Source organism: Homo sapiens, chromosome 20, assembly GCF_000001405.40.
Source record: "Homo sapiens chromosome 20, GRCh38.p14 Primary Assembly".
In the NCBI taxonomy this organism is placed as follows: Eukaryota; Metazoa; Chordata; class Mammalia; order Primates; family Hominidae; genus Homo; species Homo sapiens.
In genome coordinates, this window is record NC_000020.11 from 20813776 (window position 1) to 20825019 (window position 11244).

General features: G+C 45.1%; 2 annotated features.

Moving 5' to 3' along the window:
- Window positions 891–1467: an enhancer, noted in NCBI's record as "OCT4-NANOG hESC enhancer chr20:20795309-20795885 (GRCh37/hg19 assembly coordinates)". NCBI's record gives its function as "activates a minimal SCP1, AML or CMV promoter by ChIP-STARR-seq in naive H9 embryonic stem cells {active_cell/tissue: H9 hESC(naive)}" and the evidence as "EXISTENCE:reporter gene assay evidence [ECO:0000049][PMID:30033119]".
- Window positions 7156–7945: an enhancer, noted in NCBI's record as "H3K27ac-H3K4me1 hESC enhancer chr20:20801574-20802363 (GRCh37/hg19 assembly coordinates)". NCBI's record gives its function as "activates a minimal SCP1, AML or CMV promoter by ChIP-STARR-seq in naive and primed H9 embryonic stem cells {active_cell/tissue: H9 hESC(naive and primed)}" and the evidence as "EXISTENCE:reporter gene assay evidence [ECO:0000049][PMID:30033119]".

Here is an 11244-nt window from a genome sequence, read left to right on the forward strand (position 1 = left end):
GGCAGTAATATACTTTCATTCAGCAGCTTCTGCAGAGGCAGGGTCTGGAAGCAGCTCCCTGGGATGCCACGTAAGCTACTCCATCGCTCTGAGTCACAGTGATGGAGGACTTGGACGAGATGGATTTTGTCAGGTTCCTTCCAGACATAGGAATTTAAAGACATGATAATTTGAAGATGTTACCTAAGTCCCCAGGAAGAGAAAGAGCTTTCATAAACAATGTAATCATGGGAGTAATTCCTCCAGGGATCACAAGGATTTGGCTCTACCTGCTGACCTTTTTCTGTTTGATCTTTCACTCCACTAAGAGAATCCATTATCTATAGAAAAGAAGCCACTTTCCTTAGAGTCATTGGGTGAATCATTGCTCCAGTGAATGGTTACTGTGATGGGTAATTCTGGGTGTCAACTTGACTGGACCACAGGATGCCCAAATAAACACTGTTTCTGGGTGTGTTTGAGGCTGTTTCCAGAAGAGAATAGCATTTGAATGGGTGGGCTGAGTCAAGCAGACGGGCCTTCCCAATGTAGGTGTGCATCGTTCAATCCATTGAGGACCTGGACAGAACAAAAGGCAGAGGAAGGAGGAATTTGCTCCCTTTTTTCCTGCCTAACTGCTTGAGCTGGGACACCTCATCTCCCTTCTCCTGCTCTCAGACCGGAACTTATACCATTGGCTCCCCTGGTCCTCAGGTGTGGACTAAATTATCCCATGGGCTTTCCTGGTCCTCCAGCTTCTGTGGGACTTCTCAGCCTCCATAAGCACGTGGTGAACCAATTCCTTGTAGTAATTTCTTTTTCTTCTGTTTGGTTCTTATCAGTTTTCCTATCGGTTCTGTTTCTCTGGAGAACTTGACCAATATAGCCTCAATGCTCTATTTTCTAAAAAAATTGAAATTTAAAAAAGTTCAGTTTGATAATTAAAAGTCCCTCTGAGACAGAGTAGGAATGGGGCTTGGCTTCAACTCACTCCCGCTAGAGCATTCTTTCACTCATCTCCACGATTGCAAAACCTACACCACTACCTCACTGATGTCATTATCTCTGAACCATGCCTTTTACTTAAAGAATTCCAGGAACTGGCCTTGGGAGATCACCAAGGTTGCGGAGTGTCCCAGCTTGGGAAGGAATGCTAAACAACTGATTTACAGACTTGCTGCCTTCTGCCAGACCAGCAGGGGGTCCATTACTCAGGATAACCCCAGCAACCAGATAATGCCTACCTGCATACCCTACTCCGGCTGTCAACTCCTGTGCTTTGCCTAATAAAAAAGCCCTACAGGCTCTTGTCAGAAAGTCAGCCAGGGAATTCTCCCTCTCTCTCTCAATCTCTCTCTCTCTCATTGTCTCCCTTATGTCCAGGCATAAGCTCCAATGAGGCCTTGTCTGGAAAAAGTCTTCTGGCCTCACCTCAATCTCTAACATATTGAGAGCCCAAGAGCCTGTGCTCAGTAACACCTCTAACGCAAAGATAAGGTTAGATCTTAAAAATAGGGTGAAAACATGAGGCAATTAACTTTTAGTAATGTCTTCATAATGTTTTCTTTAAATTTTTACCAATTTTCCATTTTATTATGATCCTCTGTAATATGTACCAATCAATTAACATAACCTCATTTTACTCAAAATAAATATGTTTTATAGACAGAAATTCAGTGTCTTTCTTTGTCTTTTTAATTTGTCATGTCCTAATACAGGTATAAAACAAAAAGTATCTGAGACAAGTTTTAATCAATTTAAATGTTTATTTTGCCACAATGGTGGATGTGCCCCTGACACAGCCCCAGGAAGTCCTGAGAACACACGCCCAAGATGGTTGGGTTACTGGGTTACTGCTTGATTTTATACACTTTAGGAGGGACAGAAATTACAAGCAGACATCAATTAGTATGTGTAAGGTGTACATTGGCTCAGTTCAGAAAGGTAGGACAACTTGAAGGATGGGGAGCTTTCAGGTTATAGGTGGATTCAAAGGTTTTCTGATTAGCAATTGGTTGAAAGAGTTAAGTTATTATCTAAAGACCTGGAATCAACAGAAAGGAATGTCTGGGTTAAGATACGGGATTGTGGAGACTAAGACTTTTATTATGAAGATGAAGTCTCTAAGTAGTAGGCCTCAGAGAGAGACATGTGAATATTTCTTATCAGACTTCCAGGTGCCAGACTCCTAGTTAGTCTCTCCTGCATCAGGAAAAGACCTGGAAAGGGAAGGGGGATTCTCTACAGGATGTAGATTTCCCCCCAAAGAGACAGCTTTGCCAGACGTCAAAGAAATATATTTCAGGGTAAAATGCTTTGATTTATTTCAGGGCCTGCTATCTGTCATTTTGTGGTGTATTGCATTGCTACAAAGAGTCTGTTTGGTCAGTCTTAAGATGTCTGTTTTAATGTTAAAGCTGGTCAGTTCCGCATAAATTCCAACAGGAGGAGAGTATAGTGAGGCATGTCTGACCCCTCTTCCCATCATGGCCTGAACTTGTTTTTCGGGTTTGCCTTGGAATGCCCTTGGCCAATGGTGGGGAAGTCCATTCAATTTGTTGCAGGGCTTAATTTTATTTTTGGTTTACACAGGGCTGTGTATACAATAAATTCTCAATAAATCCTTGGGAACAAATGAGTTGTTAAATCTCACTCCTGAATTAATACCTTTCATACAACAGACTTAAAAGTACTAACAATGTAAATGAATCTCATGTCACTTTCATAAGCAACCTCAGCCTGTTTAACAGGTAGATAGTATGAACATCATATTGGGGCTCAGTATATATCACACCAAAATATGACTGTAGAGAGTTTCCTTAGGCCAGAAATCAAGTCAGTGTTCAAGATTTTAAGTGTACTGAGATGATTTCATTTACTTAAGTTTTTCTTAATGCAATCTGCTGAGAAACAGGTGGTAATTTGGGAGTTCAAGGTTGTCATTAAGTTTTTCACTTACTTTTAACTCCCTTATAAGTAATAATAGAAATAAGTCATCACATTCATGGAAATTCATTCCTGTGCTTTACTTAATCACACATAAGCCTTTGCTGACTTAAAAAAAAAAAAAAGCAAGTGACCTGCTATATATGTTTATCTCCTGTGGCTGCTAACATCCTGTTAAACGAAAATTATGGGCGCCCATCACTTTAGACTGAACTTCCTACACTAGGCCCCAGCAGAACACACAAAATCAAAACAAAGTCACTCACACAAAATGCCACAGAGTCAAACTGGAACTTTAAGGAAGGAGATAGATCCCCTAACAGACCAGACCAGTTTTTTACTGAAAACAGGAGATTCTAGTCTACCTGAGTGAGTGTAATAAAAATGGTCCCTTTGCTTTAACCTTTACAGAAAAAAGTAATCCGAAATAACCTGAAGTAACCTGACAATAACCAGTCAGCATTTTTTCCTATGGTTTTGTCTCCCTAGTCTACCTTACAAAACCCACTGTTCTGCCATTGCTCAGTGGGAACTCTCATTCTGTTTTGTAGGATGGAGGCCACCCCTATTCATGAATTGCAAATAAAAGCCAATTAAATCTGTAAAGAAATTTGTCATCATTTCTGCCTTTTGAAAATCTAATGGAAACAAAAGTTTAATAGTGCAAAAAGAAGTAAACCCATAAAGATAAAGAGACCTGAGGGTTATGGATGAGTAGAAGAGAGATCCCAACAAATTTCTGGGAAAATTTCAGTATGGGAAATGTGTTGGCTGGCAAAACAGAGCGGACAGAGCAGCTCGGATGATGTTAAGATATTGTGTGAATTCCAAGACTGGCTCCAGTTTTGGAGTTGGCAGGCATTGGAGGGAGTGAGGAATGGGCTGAAAACGGTGGGAATGACAGAGTGTTTGCACAACTGCTCCCAGGGGTCTTATTTGCATGTTCAGAATTCCCATCAGAAGCTGAGAAGCCTCTAAAGAAGTTGAATGTACAGGGAAGGGTATGTTCTCTTGAGTGGAGGTTGGTACCTCTCAAAGAAAGCCTTCCTGACTCTGGTGTCTTCAGTGTTGGGGTTCAGGACACACCACCCCAAAATATGACTATAGGAGACCAAAACATGCCACACAGCATATTTTGAGCTGGTTATTTTGGGAAACTGCAGACACAGGAGCCGGTTTGAAAAGTTGCCCTTTTGTGGCCTGGCGGAGTGGCTCACGCCTGTAATCCCAGCACTTTGGGAGGCCGAGGCAGGTGGATCATGAGGTCAGGAGATCGAGACCATCCTGGCTAACACGGTGAAACCCCACCTTTACTAAAAATACAAAAAATTAGCCGGGTGTGGTGGCAGGCGCCTGTAGTCCCAGCTACTCGGGAGGCTGAGGCAGGAGAATGGCGTGAACCTGGGAGGCAGAGCTTGCAGTGAGCTGAGATTGTGCCACTGCGTTCCAGCCTGGGTGACAGAGCGAGACTCCATCTCAAAAAAAAAAAAAAAAAAAAAGAGAGAGAAAACTTGCCCTTTTGTAAAGAAAATCCACATCTATAAGGGAAATGTATATTAGTAAAACTACCTGTGTCAGTAAGAGAACTGCTCTGAGTCAACGTTTATTACCCAGGAGAATTTTCATCTGCATAACAAGACAAGCTTTATTCACCATACATTTCCTCCCCTTGCCCTCCCATAATTTGCTTTTACTACACCCCAGAAGACCTTAGCCACCATTTCTTTCTGTAGCTCAGGATGCCAGATAAGCTGCAATCACCTGGCCCTTCCTCGACCCTCATATTTTTGTTGGATTCTGGTGTATGTATGTAATTAAATATGGTTTTTCTCCTGTTAATCTGTCTTATGTCAATTTAATTAATAGCCTGGCCAAAGGACCCAGAAGGGTGAAGGGAAGCCATTTTTCCCTCCCCTACAAGAGGGTGTGGCAAAAGTCCCACACCTACTCAATTGTATCATGAGGGTCCTGACACTCAAGTTAGAATAATGTAAGGAGGGTGTATTTACAAGGTACTCTACCAGACTCCTCTGATGCACCAATTCCGATCCTTTGGGCCTCACCTGTCTTGTGGTCCGGCCACTGCTGCAGTGATCAACTGCCTTTTTTGCTGGTGCAGTCCAGCAAGGTGTGTAGCCAGGCCTTATGAGCTTGCAAGAGCTAAACACAACCATTATTAAAAAATAAGTGATATAAATTTATAATTAAATAAATTACATTAAAAAGGAAGATAAACACTCGAAACTCATCACTCCCTATTTTATGACATTTTACTATTATTTTTGCTCTTGAGCTATTTATTTATTTATGTTTTGTTTTGTTTTGAGACAGAGTCTCACTCTGTCACCCAGGCTGGACTGCAGTGGCACAATTTCGGCTCACTAGAACCTCCACCTCCTGGGTTCAAGCAATCCTCCTACCTCAGCCTCCCGAGTAGCTGGGATTACAGGCATGTGCCACCATGCTCAGCTAATTTTTGTATTTTTAGTAGAGATGGGGTTTCACCATGTTGGCCAGGCTGGTCTCAAACTCCTAACCTCAGGTGATCCGCCCGTCTCAGTCTCCCAAAGTGCTGGGATTACAGGCGTGAGCCACCATGCCCAGCCGTGCTCTTGAGCTATTTACATCTATTGAATCATCTTTTCAAGTTATCTTCAGAGTCAGTATGTTGGTAGCTTGAAATCAGCTATGGTGAATATTTATACCATAGAAATGTGAAATTAAGTAACTCACCTTAAAGCTGTTGGAGCTTTAAATTATTCTGAGCCTTGAGAAGAATGTGGCCATCTGACTCGAGTCACGGGGTATACAGCTGCAAATTTTGCCTTTTTTTTCTGTAAATAATTAAGACCAAATGGCACCAGAGATAGGCCCCTTTAGATCATTGCCCCTACTCATGTGTTAATAAAGTAATCTTCCTCTGAACGTAGCAATCTGTAACCAATCAAACTGCTGTAAAGGCAAGGCGTGGTGGCTCGCACCTGCAATCCCAGAACTTTGGGAGGCTGAGGTGGGTGGATCACTTGAGCCCAGGAGTTTGAGAACAGCCTGGGAACATGGTGAAACCCCGTCTCTACAAAAAAAAAAAAAAAATTAGCTGGATGTGCTGCCACAGGCCTGTAGTCCAGCTACTTGGGAGGGTGAGGTGGGAGGATGGCATGAGCCTGGAAGGCAGAGGTTGCAGTGAGCCAAGATCACACCACGGCACTCCATCCTGGGCAACTGAGTGAGACCCTGTTTAAAAAAGAAAAAAAATCGCTGTAACATATGCAGTGGTCTCATATGTAAAATGTTGTGATCTTGCTAAAATTTGTCTGTTTCTACAAGTAAAACTGTAACTTATGCACTTTGGAATGCCGACCCCATTTGTTGTCAGTGTCCTCGGGTGTCTATCCTCAAGCATTGCAATCAAATAAACTCTATACTTAATCATATTTTCTGAATTTCATTATTTAAGGTAGATAGGAATAGGAGAGCCAGTTGTCGAACGTTTACCGCACTACACTGGTGCAATCTGTCAGCACCTCCCCTCCTACCCGGAAGCACAACTTTTCCGTCCTGTCCTGAGGATCCATACTGAGTTCTGGGACACCATGCAGTCATGCCCAGGGCTCACCACATGGGGGAGTTAATTCCTTGTGGAGCTAATATTTGACAAATAAGAAACGAGAGCTGGTGGATTAATTCTTGCCTCTTCCCCGCTCCCCACCGCAGACGGTCCTACTTACAACGCAGCTCAGAGCACAGTTCTGTTGCATTGAGCTATCCCCTGCACTTAGCAGCAGCCTGTCCCTCACACCTCCTAGGATGGCTCTCCCTCCTCTTCCCATTCTCTTATTCCTCTGCTCTGAGATCGAACTCCCTTTAACAATAGCACATTCAGGCTTTGCGTTCTAGGGAAGTCAGGGTAAGACAGGACCTAATGTGGAAAGTGAGTGTGGTTGGGAAGAGCAAGGGATTGTGTAGGAACCTGAAGCCAGCAACACGGAGGCTGTCACAACCCCTGGCTTGAAGAGACAAGGGCAGGGAGCATTTAGCAAAAACCAGATGGGGAGAAAGTCATCTTAAAATGATCTGAGGCCTTCCATTGTGGGGCACAGACAGGAAGGTAGGAAAGGAAATATCCAGTCCACAGCCTGTCCCCTCCCTCACCCTCTCACCAGGGAGCCTCATTCACTGGACATAATTTGGAGCCAGCGGACAGAGATGGGCTGGGGTGGGGCAGGAATGGGAGAAGAGTGGCTGGAAGGACAAATGGAAATTGTTTATCACATTGTCCTCGAGCAAAATCTACTAATTAGCATTCCCAGTTGCCAGTCACGCCTTTCACTCGGGAGAGAGGCTGGTCAGATTATGCAGTGGCACCCAGGGAGACATCAGCTGTGCGAAGAATGAGAGGGGCCAAAACAAACTAAGAAAAAACAAATTCTGGAAGAAACAAAGGTAATTTAGAGAACAGAAAAGAACTCGAAAACAAACCTATTACCTCAATTCAACATGGACAGCATCTGGTGAATAAAAGGAACGCTCAAATAAGAAAGAGTTCTTAGAAATTAAAAAAAAATGATTAGAGAAATATGAAATTCAACAGAGGGACTAGAAGCTAAAGCAGAAAAAGTCTTCCAGTTCCTCAGGCAAAACCACAGAAACCGCAGACCATAAAGATGAGCCATGGAAGTTTAATTCAAGATATTAGCCCAGAACGAGAGACCAAAAAATACTGAAGGAATAATTCTGGGAAAAAAAAAAGTGTTTATAGAAGAAAATGCCCCAGGGCTGAGTATCTACATCTTGCAGAGAGCTAGACTTTGTCTCCCTTTATCGACAAGTGCTTGGACGCTGCCTTCAGGGTCTGGGTGTAACCTGGGCGAAGCAGCTCCCTCCAGCCCCGGGCAATTCCTGGAGAGGGATTAGGAGTTCACCATCAGCAACAAGTAGTTTGGGTAACAGGGAAAGAGGCTTGGGACCTGAAAGGGGTGCATCACAGCATCCACCACATCCACCCCTTGGGCACCACTAGAATCCAGCTGCTTTGAATAGACGTTTATCCTCTGTGGGAACAGCTCGTCCAGGATGGTGGCTGGGCATTTTTATTGGAGAAACATAGAACAGAAAGGATATTGACATACATTGTAATCCCCATGACTGCATTCAGCCCCGAGGCTGTAGCTGATTCTCATTATCTCCTCTTCTATTTTACTCCATCTTTATACCCTCACCTCTTGCCTCTAGTGCCTCTGCTGGCCTAGGTGGCTTATCTGGGAGAGTAACCCAGACCTTCATCCCTGAGGAGAGCAAGCCCTGGCCACAGTCTTTCACAGGCGTGGCTGCTGCATTTGTTCATTTCCATCAAAATTGGGCGGGTGTTGGGAACCAAGAGATGCTCTGGCCGATCACGTGGGGGCCTGACCTATTGTTCTGCAACAGCAGCCCTGCCTCCTCCTGAGGAATGTGGATAATTTGCCTGCCAGCAAGGTGACTCTTTTTCTTGTCTGCTGGTCGCTTGGCAAGAGGAACCCAAAGTGATAAGGCAGCAGCAATAGCTTAAATGTAGTAGGACTCACACGGTTTCTCCTGGAAGAAGTGTTACCCCTCTAGGAACTGGGATCTTATAGACTAGTGCTGTCTGATAGAACTTTCTATGATGATGGAAATGTTCTATATCTGATTTGTCCAACATGGTAGATAATAACTATGTGTGGCCACTGAGCCCTTGAAATCTGGCTAGTGTGTCACGGAGAGTGAATTTTAAGGCCAGGCGTGGTGGCTCATGCCTGTAATCTCAGCATTTTGGGAGGCCAAGGTGGGGGGATTGCTTGAGCCCAGGAGTTTGAGACCAGCCTGGGCAACATAGTGAAATTCTGTCTCTACAAAAAATAAAAAGAAAATAAGCCAGGCATGGCTGAGGTGGGAGGATTGCCTGAGCCTGGAGGTTAAGGCTGCAGTGAGCTGTGATCATACCACTGCACTACAGCCTGAGTGACAGAGTGAAAGCCTGTCTCAATAAATAAATAAATCAACAAATATGTAAAGTGAATTTTAAACTTTATTTTAATTACTTTAAATTTAAATAGCTACATTGGGATAGTGGCTACTGTGTTGGCCAGTGCAGCTCTGTATCATCAGAACCTAAAGCTGCAGAGTACAATGCCCAAACTCCCCACCTGGGTCACTGGAGGTGATGGTGAGTAGGGCCACGCCTTAATATCCATGCCTTGGCTCTATCAATAGGGGACATGGCACCATGCCATGGTCTTTGATTCAGGGCATATACTACATCCCAGAGAATGCCACCCTATACCGGAAGGGCATCATCTCCAAGCTGGAGCCCCAGCTGTGCCTTCAGAAGGCTCTGGCATCACTTTCTCAGGCATCAGCTTGTGAGTGCTGCAGAGAGGACTACTAGACCCATGACCAAGTATCCCTCCTCTGCTGTGAAGTGGGTTGCTTGATCCGAGGTGGTGGTGAGTAAGCGGAGCTCCATGTTGGTGGATCAAATATTATAAGATGGATTGTGGTGCTGGCCAACACTCTACAGGCAGGGAAGCAGAATGTGTGTTGCCTCCAAGCAAGATGAATTGCTCCCCCTTCCAGAGTGAAGGGATCCAGTGTCATCAACTCGCCACCAACTCTTTCATCGGTCACTTTGAAAGATTAGGGGTTTGACTTTGGTTTCTGTGGCTCGCAAATTGGCCCTTTGGCTGTGGCAGTGGCTCAGCCTTGGCGAGTTGGAGCTCTTCTGTCTGGCACATGCAGAGCCTCCACCCCTGCCACCATGGCCTTTCCCTTTGTGAGCCCGTTGTGCCAGCACTGGGACAACCGATGGCAGAGGCTAGAACAGACAGCAGCTGACCGAGCCGTTCTCTCTCCTTGGCTGTGTCAAGCCTTTTCTGGGTTGTTTGCTCTCTGGCGGATATTAACATCTGTGCCAGGATCTTCACTGGGTGCCAACTTCCATAGACACAGTCACATGTCTCTTCCCCTCCGTGTTCTCAACCTTCCTCCTTCCAGGCCCTGACGAGCCCATCAAATCACACAAGACTGCCCAGGAGCCAATGTGGAGTCTGATTTCAGGATACTTCTCTTTCTACACTGCCTGAAGCCCTGCCCACTGCGAGAGCTTCCCCATTACCGCCGTCTCTCATGACCACCCTGAATGAGGCGGCCAGAGTACATCTGCAGCCAGTTTTTATTTTGTGCCCACATTTCAAGCTCACTCACCCCTGCACCAAGCTTAACCTTTCCCCTCCTCTGTCAGGTGATCACAAGGGACTCTCCCATGTGCCTCTGAGTGCGATCTGAGGGAAGGGCGCTGGTGTGGGGGTGATGGCACATGGGAGCGTGGGTCACAGCTCCATCACCAAATCGTTCCTCTCCTCATGTTCCTGCCCCTCGTTTATGTTGTGACTTGACCCTGGTTCTTGCTCTGGAATCCAGGAGGGAGGTGGGGACACAGCCTAGGGCAGGGATGTGCATGTTGTCTGGCAAGATAAAGGCTCAAGTGATCCCACAGGGAGCTCTGGAGCTAGGATGTCCCTTTGGCATCATCCTGAATTGAGGTGAGAGGACTGGCCCTTTTCCCTCCATATTGTCCAGACATTGGCTGCAAGCTGCCTCCCGAGAGAGTCACCACAACCTTGGCCAGGGTAGTCAATGCCCAGAGAAGCTCTCAGCTGTGAGCTGTGAGCAATGGCTCTCCCAGCAGCTGGGGGTGTGAGTGCCTCGCTCCAGAAGGGAGATCTAACTCTAGAATTCACCCAGCGCTCTGCTCTGTTCAGCCGCCAATAATACAGAGAAGATTCTACAGGCCTCCAGAGAGAAAAAAGAGGACTTAGAAAAAAATAAAATTAGAAAACAACATTTTATTTTTAAAAAAATTCCTTCCTTTTGTAAATGTTTGCTAAAATCATCCCTTAATCAGTTAAGGGATCAATTCAAAGACTACTGGTTGAGGTAGTACTAATTCTACTGTGTCAAAAACAACTCGCTTTACTAAAGTAAGCCTTGTAGGGGTAGGATTTGGGGTTGTCCTGTACAACTAACTGCTACCTGGAGTCCTCTACTTCCCCTCAAAGGAGAAAAAATAAGAACGAGAAAAAGAGCAGAGGCGGTACAGAGGAAGGATCACTCTGAAATGAGCAGAGGAACGCGTGGACCATGCAAGACTGTGGGGCTCCCCGTGGATCGCCCCGAAGTGCTCTGAATACCAAGCAATTCTTCAAAGTCTTATCACAAGACAGTGACCATCATGTATAGACAGCTTACATTTGTTGAGTAGGAAAGTGTCCCAGGGCCTGCTCCCTGCTCTGCCACACGTGG